The sequence below is a fragment of the Homo sapiens genome, chromosome 9 (assembly GCF_000001405.40).
Source record: "Homo sapiens chromosome 9, GRCh38.p14 Primary Assembly".
Taxonomy (NCBI): Eukaryota; Metazoa; Chordata; class Mammalia; order Primates; family Hominidae; genus Homo; species Homo sapiens.
In genome coordinates, this window is record NC_000009.12 from 19,783,082 (window position 1) to 19,798,503 (window position 15,422).

General features: G+C 40.5%; 1 protein-coding gene and 1 long non-coding RNA gene across 6 annotated transcripts in view, besides 2 other annotated features; one reads left to right on the forward strand and one right to left on the reverse strand.

The window, feature by feature from the left end:
• The window catches only part of SLC24A2 (solute carrier family 24 member 2), an 800,438-nt gene that overhangs the window by 275,627 nt on the left and 509,389 nt on the right, over positions 1-15,422 (reverse strand). For 2 of the 5 annotated variants that reach the window (NM_001193288.3, NM_020344.4), the window contains exons 1-2: positions 5,804-5,956; positions 2,856-3,938 (exon numbers count right to left, since the gene is read on the reverse strand). In NM_001193288.3, the coding sequence (NP_001180217.1) occupies positions 2,856-3,785 (930 nt within the window). In that variant the 5' untranslated portion in view covers positions 3,786-3,938; positions 5,804-5,956. Of the gene's footprint in view, positions 1-2,855; positions 3,939-5,450; positions 5,957-15,422 lie in introns of those variants that run through there. The other 3 variants (NM_001375851.1, NM_001375850.1, XM_017014592.2) reach the window with 2 other exon arrangements.
• Positions 4,872-5,519: an enhancer, noted in NCBI's record as "OCT4-NANOG-H3K4me1 hESC enhancer chr9:19787951-19788598 (GRCh37/hg19 assembly coordinates)". NCBI's record gives its function as "activates a minimal SCP1, AML or CMV promoter by ChIP-STARR-seq in naive H9 embryonic stem cells {active_cell/tissue: H9 hESC(naive)}" and the evidence as "EXISTENCE:reporter gene assay evidence [ECO:0000049][PMID:30033119]".
• On the forward strand, positions 6,078-7,979 carry LOC124902128 (uncharacterized). Its single transcript, XR_007061432.1, has 2 exons — positions 6,078-6,197; positions 7,844-7,979. It is a non-coding gene; the product is annotated as an uncharacterized LOC124902128 (long non-coding RNA).
• Positions 10,077-10,277: a silencer, noted in NCBI's record as "peak7210 fragment used in MPRA reporter construct". NCBI's record gives its function as "represses an SCP1 promoter by STARR-seq MPRAs in K562 erythroleukemia cells {active_cell/tissue: K562}" and the evidence as "EXISTENCE:reporter gene assay evidence [ECO:0000049][PMID:32103011]".

Genomic DNA, 15,422 nt, shown 5'->3' on the forward strand with positions numbered 1-15,422 from the left:
CCAGTTCATGTTTTTCCATGCTTCACAGTTACCCTATGATGTACATCATCAACAATGGAACCAAATTAAGATTTTATATTTGCCTATGAAGCAAGTAGTTTCAAGGATATTCACTGCCTAGAGCCCAGCAGAGTTGACTTTTTTGCAAGAACCATTTGATGATTTGTATAAGAATATCTAAAATGTGATTCCTCTACCTTCCCAAACTCCCATGTCCCATAATTTTGCAAACAGGACAATGAAGTGACTTTGCATGAAAACATGCTTAGTATTTTGCTTCCTAAATTCTTGTACAGCACATTCCTCTCTAGGAAGACTCCACTGAAGGCCGCATTTGGCTTAAAGTCTTTTTTTCCTAGATGTTTTGGTGATGTCAGAAGCATTAATTTCTGTAAGAAAGGTAAGCTACACAGTCAGAATTCAACTCTGCAGCCAGGTGACTAGATGACCACACTCCAGGATTCATCCCCATTTCAGGATGAATCAAATTACATTAAAATCACATTCAGAGATGTGATTATGTTCAGTGCCTGGGGGGGAAAACCTCCCTAAGTTTCTGCAATCAGGCATATGATAAAGGCTGTAATTACAGAAAAAATTCCAGCAATAATTCAAAAGTGAAATTGGCAAGTGGTATTTCCTAAAGGAAATCACACATCCTTATGCACGTTCCACTTAAAAACGTGTGACTGTGCTCTGGCATTTTTTTGAGAAGTACAAAATAAGACATAGCTTTGTTTAGAAAAAAATCTCTACTTCCATTAGTTAACCAATGTCAAAAGAAACATTAATGACTAACTGGAATAAATTAAAGCTATTTGGTGCTAAATGGAAAACAATACAATGAACACATTTTGGGGGGAAATCAGAAACAGAAATAGTTATGAATATAACCTGCTTTCTTTTTCAATCAAGTAAATCTAGAATTCCCAAATTTTAGAACACACAATATTAAGTATAGCACAAAATTATGGATGCAAATAACAAGGGTTAAGGGATGACAACCTGAATTTCTGACCTTAAAATAATCATAAAAATGACATAAGTCACCTAATTGAGTAGGTAAAGATCATTCCAGGGCTACTTTAATGAATGGTTTATAATTGACTAAATACAGTCTATAAACCTATATTTGGAAAGCTATTTCTAAAACGCATGAAAGCATCTTCCACTCCACTAAACCATCTTCCACCCCACTAAAATCAGAATACAAAATCCTTCCGCAATCCTACATATACCATTGGATTGCTCTGCAGATTCATTTTTCATAAATGTTGCCAATATAACATTCAGCCAAGTCTCTAAGTTAATGAAGTTCCACTAGGGTGTAAGAAAACAAGAAAGTACTGAGTTCTCAAAGAGACTTTTCAGCATTGATGCACCCAAGAAATTTATAAGACATCGAATCATTTCCTTGCCTCTAAAAAATAAGCATTTCCTTGACAATCGTTCAGTACTTTAATTGGAATAAACACAAGACTATCAATGTACACCACCCAAACGGACTCGAGGAGAGCACTTGAGGGATCACCTTTTTGGCTGCTAAGTTAGAGTAGGGGAGAACTTCCAATGATGGTCCTATTTTATGCCCTGAAGGAGATGTACTCAGTTGTCACATCTGAATGCTTGTTTGCCGTATATTTTGCTAAATGATTTTTTGGTTTTACTATAGTTTCTAACAAACAAGCATACGAGAGAAATGTTAGAAAATATGTAGTACAAGTAGAAATATTGCTAGTGTTTTATCCTGCCCTTTGCTTCCATTTCATGGCTGCAATGAAAAGGACGGTCATCAAACTTGGCTATAAAAGAATTATGCAAATTTAACCATATTAATATCATTTTTCTTTTCTTTTTGAACAAAATCTTTCACCCCCTGCTCAAATATCTGTTTTTTGCATATATGAGAATTTTCCCAGATGCTGGCATGAAAAGTCTATGTAGGTATTTTGGCTTTCTGTTTAAAATCACATTCAGAGATGATATTCCACTGCTAGGATATAAATCAGAACTCCATTACAATACCACATACGATTGTATTGATGCCATTTGTCCACTATTTAAAAAAATAATTTAGGTGTTTGCAGGAATTACTTCTAAGCTCTTTACCAATCTGCTTTCCACTCACCTAAGTGGTAGGATGGCCACGATTGTTATTAAAACTCCCTCAAATTCTACTCTAAAAATAGTTGAAGTCATGTTTATTATGGTGTGCAAAGTGGGTCATTGTGATGCAGAGGCAGATGGCAGGGCTGGCCAATGATTCTCTTTACAATGGATGCTGATCAGTTCCTGGTCAAGTGACCTAAGACATGATTGTGTCAATCAAGAAAAACAGCCATGACAACAATAATGACAAGCCCTGCTGGGCTAGGCTGCTGACTGGAAGGTACAGCTACGGTGACACAAACTTTCTTCCTCAGACATCTCTAAAGAGATGGTTCTTTCTTGGTAATTGCCATGTGTTCATTTAAAAAGAAAAGGCCTTGCAACTTTCTAGGCACATACACACTTTCCTATGAAAATTAAATTGTTCACAAAATCATTATGCCCACTTTCAGAAAATAAGAGACAAATAACTGCTGAATTGGCTTTGGGAGGCTTATGTAACCTATATTTACAAGTGTTTTACTCTGAAGCAAGTAGCTGAGGAACTTAGTAAACATCTGCAAGAATACCCCAAAATTATTTTTTCCACTGCTATGTTAGTCTAGCTATCACAGAACTGCAGAATCAATCTGCTATCCACAAGAGCCCCAAACACCATCACATCAAAAGAACTGCAGATCTCAAAAACATAATAATTCAGAACCGTAGTCAAGAAAAGCATTAAATAAAAATCCACCACCACCAACCTTTGCTTGGGCTTCTGGTGCTGTCACCTTGACGACCTTATTGCGGTTTATCATTTGCTTCACCCATTTTTCTACTTGGACGTTGAATTTCATGAAAACCACATAGCAAAAATAAGCTGTTAAGAGAAGCAAGCTTTCCCACCACATGATGACATTATCCAGGAAAAATATGATCAGCATGATCAAGTCAACAATGTAGAAAGACACATCTCGAAAGAGCGGCCACCATGTCAGGTTTAAGATTTCTCTAGAAAACAGAGCACACATGCCAATAACAAAGAGGATGTTGAATACTGCTGAACCTACAATTGTGCCTATGCCAACGTTGCTGTGAGCGATAAATACCCCTATGAGAGATGTGAAAAGTTCTGGGGCTGACCCTCCTGCAGCCATGAAGGTGGCTCCAGCCACATCATCAGAGATGCCCAGTTTTTCAGTGATGACAGTCAAAGAAGGAACAAAGAACTCATCACAGACAATGGCTAAGGCTATGAACATGTAGATCATTCCAATGACATGCAGAATGATCGCACCTTTTCTTCTCTCCTCAAGGGAAAAGATGTCTTTCGGGTAGTCTCCTTGGGCGTGATCTGTACTATTCTCAGACTCGCCTTCCTTAGAAAGAGGTGGCTGTGGAGTATAATCCAGAATCTTGTCATTTAAATCTAAGAGAGTTCTCTGATGGTAACCCTGTGCTACCCTAGGGCCACTTACAACACTGGCCTCTCCTGTGCTCTGTGTATCTGTCTCAGAAAAGGCACTGATTGAAAATGAGACAGTGCTAATGGCTACCAGACCCATGAAAAGGCCTAAGACTCGAATTAACTTCAGTTTTTTCTTGACACTATAATGTCTTCTGCAGCCAGACAGTGACTCATCCAAACACCATTTCTCTAGGGAAGTGATGGTGGTGCTTTGTTGCAGATCCATCCTGGGTCTTCTGGTGGATATGGTGATCTTCCAACTTTAGACTCAACCAGATGGTTCTTTCATACTTTTCCTTACTTTATAGTTAACGATGCTTGTGGGGTACTTTCACAATCAGGGATTGTTATGCTTCACAGGAAACTTTCATCATTTATGCTTAAATAAAAATAAAAACGAGAATAAGTAAATCATAAAATCACGTCTTTTTAATAAAGATCTTTGCAGATATGATAAAGTCCTGTCCTGCAGCTGTGCGATCTTGGGTAAGTTACTTAACTTCTCTGTGCCTCAGTTTCCTCATTTAAAATGGGGACAATTACGGTACCTACCACCCAGGATTGTTTTCAAGATGAGTAAAAACATATGTAGCACTTAGTATGGGATGTGGCACTTATGAAGATGTATGTATAAACCCAAATAAATATTTTGGTAAATCCAATGTTAGGTGCAGAGAAGGCAGATGTAAGAATAAAAATTTTACAGGTGAAAATCTATCAGATTATCTCACCTTAAATCATGTAATAACCTTCCAGTGCTATAAAGGTACCTAGACTTCTTTCAGAACTGTCTAGGTACTTGGCAACTAACAATTATTCATTGTTTACTTTTGGTCCAATTACATAATTCTCAGTTGTAGGCAACTTTTTCTGATTTAACCTATCATTTGGAAAGTGAGTGATTCTTTAATTTAGTGATCTTTTTTCTGCACACATAATGATATCAGATCTTATTTTTCATAAAAAGTCTCTCCTTTATCAGATGCGGGAAAGTAGTCCTTTACAAATTTAAGTTTACAAAAAAAAATTCTGGTGACATGCACAAGCTGCCTTCCCTAAACATCTAGACATTGTTTTCAGCTAAATATTTTTTTTAAAAAAACAACCTTTAGTCATATTTAAAATAGGCAGCTTAGTAAGTCAAAGAACTCCCAATGCAGTGAAATAACAAGTAGGCTATTTCGAGAGACCACATGTGTATTTCATAAACAATACGCAAGTTGTAGCAATACCTCTGTCCACAAAATCTGCCCAAAATAGCCCCACCACTGACTTTAATAGGTTAGATATCCAAAGCAGAGTTTTCTTTCTCTATCCCACGGAGGAGATGGGTAAAATAGCCAGACTTGACAGCTGATATTCTGAAGAGTTCTCTTTTTAGTTTTTCTTTAAAAAGACTATTCTTTTCCATATCAACGATTTCATTTTGGAGGCAGTCGCTGAGATAATCTCAGGTGTAAAATAAGCTAATTAAACACACGCCACTTAAATACTGAGATTAGCTGGAGCTCAGGTTTTCAGAGCAAAGCAAGAGCACAAATCAACCCCGCTGAGTTGCTGCTACTCCTGAGATAACCCGACCCCATCACGGAGATTCCCAGGTGGCTGCGAACGTCAACGCTTAGCAGGAACGATTAAGCGATTCACAGCACTCAGGGGATTGTGTAAATGCCCGGCCCGGGCGACCAGCAGGGACAGATTCAACTCCCCGGGCGCAAAGTCATCTCCAGCCCGATCCTCGCTCCCCCTGAAAACCCACCGCTCGTCTCCCCGGGAGCTGCCTCCGTAGGAGAATGTTCGCCCCCAGCCGCGCCCCAACTTTGCCTTGCGTGGTCCCAAACTTTCCCTGGTGGATTAATAGGAAAATAAATCTAAAGGACAGACGCCCCACCTGTGAGCTTGGAGCTGGGTTGCATTTGGTGAGGCGCTTGGCCCGCATCCCCCTGAGTCGTTTGTAGGTGGCTGGGGAATGGAAGCGCCCCTCTGCGCGTCTCCCCCGACGGCAGGCCCTGCCCCACGCCCCCCATCCCAAGCCAAAAGCAAGGGTAGGAGAGGCGGGGGCTCCAAATCCACGCCCCGGAGCACAGAGAGTTGGCTAACTCCTAGCGGGGCCTGGGGCGCCCACATCCACGGCAGAGCCACCTGTGAGCCTGCAGAGCAGCAACGGGATGCGCGCAACCGGGATGCGGGGACGACCGCCACAGCGGCTACAGCGGCAGGCGGGGCGCAGCCGCCCGCACTTACCAGGATAAGATGGGAGGACGCGCACACGGCGGGGCCCCCGAGCGCGGCCCGCCGCTCCAGTCCGCCGGCCCTCCGCCTACCCGCTCTGAGGCCCGGGCTCTGGCTCGCACTGGCTGCCGCTCTCGCCAGCCGGGCTGGGTTCGGGAGGAGACTGAGCCGCTGTGAGCCCGGCGCTCCGAGTCTGGCGCTGCCCGGCCCCCGCCGGCCCCTCCCTCTGGGCTGTGCGCTGTGCGCTGGGAGCGGGGCCGCAGCGCGCTCAGCTCCCGAGTCCTTTGCTCCACGCCTCCTGGGCGCAGAGGCGACGCTGGCAGCCGTCTCTTAGGAGATTTCTCCGCAGTGTGGACGGGGGTCAGGATTTGCAGGCGAGCAAGGGCAGAGAGGAGAAATCGTACAGGTCGGTGACGCGCCTAATTCACAAAGCCTGAAAGTGCTGTCAACTTTGGGGTCATCTTATGCTGGGCACCGCCTCTCCAATTATCTGCAAAAAGTGATAGCAGTCGCGCTTTTCTTTAGGAGGCGATGTGATGTGTAATGGTGGAAAAGACGTTCAATGAAAAGGCACGGAGGCCTGCAGGACAGGCTGTTGGGGTCCAGGGTTTCTTGAGTGTTGGATTTGGATGCTTGGGACACTGCAGGGGCTTCAGTCTTGCAGGGTGACCTTTCATTTCATGGGTGATGAAAGTGAGACCCAAAACCCCGTGTCATTTTGAATCACTGACAGGCTTCGGCTTTTGGCCTCGGGATGTCCAGCCCAGTGCTCCTTCCTGTCCTATCTGGAAAGCAAGATCCCCTTGACCACAAGAAATAGAATCAGGCTTGTTGGGGATGAGAGACTAGAATCTGGGCCAAAGAATGGAAGACGGTGGTAAGACAAATTGGTAGTGAGGGAACCCCTTTTACCCAACCCTGTGACCACCAGCAAAGCTGCCAAGAGGTACCCAACTCGTGAAGCTCTGAAAGCTTTTCGCACATTTTCCCCTCTCCTTACCCTCCATCCTTCTGTTCTCTCCCCCATCCAAGAGGGTTTCTTCATGCCCTCCTTACAATGGGGGTAATGGGTATATCCTGAGAGCTCATGACCTCTGACTTAGAGTACAGCTCTGTAGTCAGACCTCTGGGCCTACTCATCAATAAGTAAAGGGAAGCCTAGGGAACTTAGAAATATTTTTCTTCCCCCCACCCCCCAATCAAAGCCAGGCATTCAAGACTCAACTTTTCTTTTTCTTTCTCCTTTCGAGACTGAATCTTGCTATGTTGCCCAAGCTTGTCTTGAATTCCTGGGCTCTAGCCATCCTCCAGCCTCAGACTCCCAAGTGCTTGCAGACTATAGGTGCCTGACTGAATTTTTTTATCTTTAACTTTTAATTTAGAAAATTTCAAACATATACAAATGTAAGAAAGTAGTATAATGAATCTCCATGGGGCCATAACCAGCTTGAACAATTATGAACTCATGGACAGTCATATTTCATCTATACCCCTTTTTCCTATGTCATCATTTTGAAGCAAATCCCAGAGCATCATATCATTTTATCTGTAAATATTTTCAGAAAGCAAGAAAACTATCAACTACCACTAGGGTTGTGTCAAGAAGGGGACAATTCAAATAGGCTGTCACTGACCAAAGACGGGCTAATTTGAGCATCAAAAAAAAAAAAAAAAAAGATAATCGCAATTGTTTAAAACACATCAAACATGATTATATCTATTAATTGATAATATTTTAAAAACAACTGAACAGATTGATTGCTTGATGGTTCAGAGGGAACCAGCTCATAATTTTCAAAACTGTTTTAGGAAAAGGAAAACAATTGTGCATTTATTTTGCCTTTTCTATACAAATTGGACCTCTGGGTAACCAATTAGGCTTTATTTTTACCCTGCCTTTGTCTACTTTCCTAGTTTAACAATCCTATTCTTCCCTGAGGCAATAGGTGCCTCTGGCTACATGGGGTGCGGAGGGGAATATCACAATGTCTAGAAGAGTTTTTCTTATGTTATCTTCTAGAATTTTTATGGTTTCAGGTTTTTCCCCTACAGCTCAGAGATGACCCTGAGTCTTGATTCGGTGAGAAGAGGAATGAGATCCAGATGAAGACCTCATGAGTCCATAGATTGTATTGGCTGGGATTTGCACTTGGTTGCACATAATAAAAATTCATTCTTGGTGATTAAACCAAACAAGAATTTATTTTTCTCATGGTAAAAAGAAGTCTGAAAGCAGACTGCCCAGGGTTTATAAAATAGCTTCAAGATGCTATCTGGGAACCCAGATCTTTTGATCTGTCTTTCTTAATGTATGGCTTTATCCTCATGGCTACAAAATGGTTTATTCTTTTGCATTACATCTGTGTTCCAGGCAGGAAGAAGGGAAAGAGTGAAGGGTGAAAGGCAGAAGGCCTCCTTGCTAGGCTTTGTCTTTTTATTTAGGAAGGGATTCTGTCAATGCTTCACTTACATTTCACTGATCACGACTTGGTCACAAGACATAGCTGCAAGGGAGTGTAAACAGTATTTCAACTGAGCACATAGTCATCTTTTAGAAAATCAGGGCTCTCTTAGTAAGGGAGAAGGGGGAGATAAATGTTGTGGGAGTGACTACTCCTACACAGTTCCAAAGCATCTCAATGAGATCCATATTCGACTCAAGATTTGACAGTTGACCAAGAACTTGGCAATTAATTGCCACAACAGTTGAGAAGGCTACAACTTCCATCCTGGTAGTAATGGAGAAAAGCAGGGCCTGTCATTTGTCCAAATCACACTACGTGGAAGCAGAGGAATTGAATAACAACTGTAGGTCTCCCAGATCCACAGACCTTATTGCCTAGTCATAAAGAAAGGGTAGCTTCAGGAGAAAATTTACTACCATCAAATGAGTTATTAAACAGTAGCATTTGCTAAGAGACTCAAGTAGATTAATCAATGGGTCTCTTTTTAGAAATTATTAAGGAGCTACTTCTTTATATTTGTAGATACTTGTGTAAGTATAAACATTAGTTGGCCTCATATTTACCCTTCTATTAGCTGTAAGATTGGTTTTAACATATAGTTTATAGGAGTAATTGGTATTACCAGTTAAGAACAATGGGCTCTTTTTGTTTTGAAGAGGAGGCTTTCAAAAATCAGTAATGAATTTTAAAAATCACTAGGTCATACCTAAGCTAATAAAGGATTTTTAATGTAAAACTGCCAAAGGGGTGCTAGTTAATAGTTTTGCTAAGCACCCATATAATTTTCACATAGTTATCTAGGCTGGCATGATTTAAAATAGGTTAGGAATATCCCCTTGCCCCATCTGAAATAACATCCCCAGGGGGCCACAGTGTCTACAATTCCACCATTAGAAATTCATTGCTTTGGCTTTATATTTTATAATTTCAGGAATTTTTAAAGAAGCAAGTAGCTCTGGAGTCATAGTAATGATTAGCAATTTTTTATTGTTTTTGACTTGACATTCAGTCTCAAGGGAAAAAAATTCTAGTAAACTGTCATGAGCAGAAGGTGAAAGAGATGGTTGAGGGCCAGGTGTGGGTGTGGTGGCTCACGCCTTTAATCCCAGCACTTTAGGAGGCTGAGGTGGATCACCTGAGGTCAGGAGTTTGAGACCAACCTGGCCAACATGGTGAAACCCTGTCTCTACTAAAAATACAAAAAAAAAAAAAAAAAAAAAAAATGCTGGGTGTGGTGGCAGGTGCCTGTAATCCCAGCTACTTGGGAGGTTGAGGTAGGAGAATCACTTGAACCTGGGATGCGGAGGGTGCAGTGAGCCGAGACGGCGCCATTGTACTCCAGCCTGGGAAACAAGAACAAAACTCCATCTCAAAAAAAAAAGATAGGATAGCTGAGTCAGAAAGTTGTGGGCAACCCAGGGACAAAATAAAGTACAGTACTCATACTTACTTTGTTAATCATTTCTTTCTTCATTCTCTCCACATATACAACCTTTTTTCTGACTTATTAAAATCTCTAGCTTCTCTGTTATTAAAATTGCAGGCAGTCAGCACACTTATGAAGTATTCAATGTGCACAAAACCAGTAGTTCCAAACCTCGACTTTAGCTAAACAAAAGAACTGGGGTTATTTTTAAAAGACTCCTGACAATGACCCTCACTCTCCTCCCATTACTGTGAGCCCCGTGAGAACAAAGAGTCAGTATCATGCATTTCTCAGCATCTAGCCCTGCGCTTGGCATTTTGGCTAACACATATCTGTGGAGTGAATTAAGATGATGGCAAATACAGTTACTTAAAGGAAGGTGAGTCAATCAGGAGGATGTAGGTTATGTTATGATAACAAAAAGTTCAAAAATCACAGTGGCTTAAAACAATGAAGGTTTTTGTTTCTCACTTGTGCTACCTGTCCTTTGTGAAGTTTGCTGTGTCATCCTAACTCCTAACCCCAAGCTGGTCACTATCTAGAACACTGCCATTTGCTGTTGCAGGGAGAAAAGATGCATGGCAAACCTAGAACTTGCTTTTAAAGCTTCAGCTTGGAAGTGGTGCATCACTGCTGCTAGTATCTCATGGACTGAAGCAAATCAGATGGTCATATCTATTTTCAAGGGAGCAAGAAAGTGCAGTTGCATTGTGTGCTTCAGAGAAGAATGGAAAGATTTGGTGATGATCAATAATAACTACCACAATGGGCATCAGTGGTGGAAAAAGGGAACTGATATGTTACACACCTACCATGAACTAGAGTGTTTGCTAATCTCTTTTCAATCTCATCAGTTTTATCACTATTATTATCCACAGATGAAGAAACTGAGGCTCAATGAGGTTAAGTAGCTTGCCCAATAACAAACAGCTCCATTTGAATCCAATAATGTCTCCAAAGCCCGAGTTCTACTATTCCTCATAGTATATGATAGTCCCTGCCTAACTAAGAATTAGTTGCATTTTTCCTGTTGAGATTATATACTTAGAACCTATAGATTTCTTCTACCAACAGCCCGTCAACAATCAAGGATAGTTGTCTACTTCCTAAGAGGATCTGCTTTGCTTATTTAAAAAAATCACAGATATAAATATCAAAATATCCTGATGTTCTTTAAGAAATGTTCTCCTCAGGCCTCTCAGCCTGGACTGATTTTGTTTGCCTTTGCATTTGGCTCATTTTTTGTCTGGTGGCTTTCCTTTTCAGTGCAATGAGAACCATAAAAGCAGAAAAAAATTTCTGTGGGATTGAGGGATGAAAGTGCAGGCTTCTTTGCTTTTGACGGAGATTTCTGCAACAGCACTTAAGGCCAACCCCTACATGATTGCTCTTTCTTCTTTTCTTATTCACTTACGAGGTAAGAAGTGATGAATGCCTATTATTTTTACATTAGGAACGGGAATTTTTCTGGCCTTAAATGCCCAGGAAGCCCTGAAATTAAGCTTCTCTTTGCAATACCAGCTCAGCTTCATTGCACCTGAGCACCAAGACAGGTTATAGTTATTATCCTAAGTGAATTAATGCAGGAACAGAAAACCAATACCACATGTTCTCACTTATAAGTGGGAACTAAACATCAGGTACACATGGACACAAAGAAGGGAACAATAAACATGGAGGCCTACTTGAGGGGGAAGTGTGGGAGAAGGGTGAGGATTGCTGATTACCTGGGTGACAAAATTATCTGTACATCAAACCCCTGTGACATGCAATTACCAGTGTAACAAACCTGCCTGTTTACCTCTGGAACCTACAAATAAAAGTTGGAAAGTTAAAAAAAAAAAAAGCCACAGTGTGAGTTCTCCAAGGGCAGAAGTGGGGTCTGTCCATTTCATCAAGAGACTTGGAGTCTCAACCCTTGGCTACTATTCCTACCGATGCCAGCAGGGACTTCCTGAGAGTCCCCCAGGGTGCTTCCTTGTCTCTCAGAGGCACACCAGTAAGGAAATAAGGATAAATAATACTGGTAAAGGAGGCATGCTGGAGAAGAGGGTACAAAGGCAGGACAGCCCACTCGGAAAGCAAGCAAGGAGCATTGCTCTTTATGACTCAAAAAAAAAAAAATAAAAAATCGTGCTCCTGCTGCCTTCTTTCCTAAGCTAGACTCTACCTATTTCTAGTTCAGAATTTCAACATAAAATAAAGCTTAAAATACTGGAAAAGAGGAGCCATGTGCCTTGAGCCTCAAACATAGGACAAGCCAGAAGGAAGGTGCTGCTGTGTCTATGGTTTCTGAATACTGAACTAAAATACTTGTTTTATTCAATTCATAAAATTGAAAGGAATGTCACTATTTTCCCAGCTCGGTTGTGGAGAGGGGTCTCAAGTTGTTCAGCTGGAACAAAGCTTCCTCCATCTCCTCCATACAGTATGTACATATGTGGTGGGCGTAGTGGGCTGGGGAGTATCCCTCAGCATCCTGACACTGTGTGAGCAGGCACCCCCCACCACCCCCACCCCCGGCCCAATGCCAGGATTCAGGTAATAAGCCTGTTTGGGGTTCATGCCCACCATTCTCCAAATTGGCCTTTCTTAGTAACAACAGTGACAGTTCCTCTCCACTTGCCTCTCTTTTTGCTCATCTCTCAATTTGTTTGAAGCCAAGATAGGAAGACACGTGACATATATTGAACCCCTCAAATACTCCACATTTATATTGAAAAACTGTAAATCTTTCTCCCTGAAACTTCTGCTTTCTGGTCTCTAGAAAGAACCATATTCAAAGGTTTTAGCTGTTTTGTTTTTTAAAGTTTTTTTTTCCAGGTACTTAGGACCATCTTTCAAAGTAATGAGGTCACTTTCCTGTCTCTTGATTTTTCTGATTTTGATGTTACCTACTAAATTCTTATCAGGGAAGAGGTGGATTTCTTCCTCTCACAATATTCTCCCCCCTCCCTCTCTGAAGCCTCCATCTCACCATATTCCCTCTTCCATTCTTCCCATATAGTTATATTACCACTTGGAATACATTAATAGCCACCATTTACATCCTATAATTATGTAACTATGCGGCACTATTCACAATAGCAAAGACTTGGAACCAACCCAAATGTCCAACAATGATAGACTGGATTAAGCAAATGTGGCACATATACACCATGGAATAATATACAGCCATAAAAAAATGATGAGTTCATGTCCTTTGTAGGGACATGGATGAAGCTGGAAACCATCATTCTCAGCAAACTATCGTAAGGACAAAAAACCAAACACTGCATGTTGTCACTCATAGGTGGGAATTGAACCATGAGAACACATGGACACAGGAAGGGGAACATCACACACCGGGGCCTGTTGTGGGGTGGGGGGAGGGGGGAGGGATAGCATTAGGAGATATACCTAATGTTAAATGACGAGTTAATGGGTGCAGCACACCAACATGGCACATGTATACATATGTAACTAACCTGCACGTTGTGCACATGTACCCTAGAACTTAAAGTATAAAAAAAAAAAATCAGTTGAGCTGCATAGTATACTAATTCACCCCAAACTCTCTGATATAACTGTTCATTTCCCCTCACTGTTTTCAAACATGTCAGTTGAACTTCCTGTTTCTTGTTTCTTCCTTGACAGCCCATGCCCAAGTTTTACATCTCCCACATGGTACTCATTCTAGGAATTTTCTGTTTCTCTTCTTTGTGTTAAAAACCCTGTGTCCTGAAGCCTCTTTCTTGTTTACTCCTTTGCTTTTTGGAGCACAGCCTCCAGTATCTTCCCCAGAATGGGGCACAGGAGGAAAATGTTTGAATCCTTGTGTGTTTTTGATGTCTTTATCCCACTCCCATACTCTATTTTCAAAGTATGGCTTTGTGAAAATCTAGGTTAGAAATCATCTTCCTTCCATATTTTTAAGGCAATCCTTTCTTCACTGTATTTGACATTTCATTATTTCTGTAGAGAAGCCTGATGTCATTTGAATTCCTGGTCCTTTTTGATGGAATCTATTTTTTCTTTTGAGAAGATCTTTAAGTCTTTTTACTTGCAGTGTTCTATATCTTGATGATAATGTACCTTGGAGTGGATCTTTTCTCATTCATTATTCTCTGCCTAGAAACTCATAAATATCTGGGAAATTTGTTTTGTGTATATTTAAAAAATTTTTCTTCTCTCCATTTCTCTTTCCTTTTTGGAATCTCTATTATTTTGATATTTACCTTCCTTGCCTAGTCCTCTAATTAAGGCTTTATCTTTTCTCCATTTTCTATTCATCAACTTTGTCATTTAACCCTTCTCTTGGTAAAAAGTCCTCACATTTTTAACTTTTGAGAAGTTCTATCTTATTCTTTGCATATTTCTATTACAGTTTCCCATTTTTATTTCATAGGTCTAGTAGCTTCTCTTATGTCTCTGAGATAATGTAAGTTTCATGAGGTATAAACTTTATTTGGTTTGTTCATTACTTTATGTTGAATGCCTAGAACAATGAGTGCCTACTGTAGTAGGTGTTCGATAAGTATCTTTGAATTAATGAGACTATTTACTGTAGCTTATTGTGTATTTTCTTCTGCTCCCTGAAGTTTCTGTTTCCCACAAGTTCCTTTTTACTATATTTGTTCTGGCCTGGTTTTCATATCACAGGCCTTTCTAAAATATCTGGTGATCTTTGGTGTCTGTTAATAATTACGAATCAGGCATTAAAATGCTAATGAAAGCTCTTGCTTGGATGCGACCTGCCAAGTAGAGGTCTTTACTGTAGAGTAATCAAGTGAGGATGCAACCATTTCACTTCCAGAAACACATGTCAGTATCTCTGCATAATTTCTCTTAGGCTGATCAATTTCCCCAGGGCAGGTTCTCTAAGCTCTTCTCTGAAGTATTTGTGTTTGGCTGCCAGCAGTATGAGAGCTGAGCTAAAAAAGAGGCTAGGGGACTTTATTATTCACTTTATAGATTTTAAGGTAGCTTACCCTTATCTTCAGCTTTGCCTGATGTCCTAGAACAACTCTGGCTTAGCTTCTACAGAGAATCAACCTCCCCCTTTTTGCCAGCGTGGGAAGGGGCAGTCTCCTGGCCATAAAGGATGGGGAACGGTGTTTGCAGATATAACTGCACCTTTAAGATTTTCAGTCAAGCTTCTTATTTTCAGCCCCTTCTTGTGCCTCTGCTCTATTGGTTTTCTATTGTAGGCTGTAACAAATTACCACAACCTTTGTGTTTCCAAATAACATACATTTATTATCTTACAGTTCTTTAGGTCAGAGGTCTTGTATGGGCGAGTTCTTTCCTGGAGACTGTATCATGTTTATATAGAATTGGATCTTATTTTTTAATCTGAGATTAAATTTCACTTAATAAACTAGTTTATTCATTTTAGTTGCTTGAAGTATGTTTTATCTAAAATTTGTCATCTCATATGATATTTATGTTTTTAATGCTTCATCATTTTCTTTCATTTGTTCTTTTATATAATAAATTACACTTGTATTTGCTGATTTGTCAATGTTAGTAGTATTGATTTGTTGCTAAAAACAAGGCCATTTATGAACTTAACATTCTTTCTTAAAATTCCTTTCCCAACTTTATAGAACAAAATAATTCCTACAGCCATAGTTAGCCTTAGTCCTTTACTGAATAAGTTGCATAATCCATCTGCTTCTTCCAAAATAAGATTTTCTTACTTGTACAATTTTTATATTAATTCATACCTTGGTTAGCTGGATTTAATTACCAAGTCATT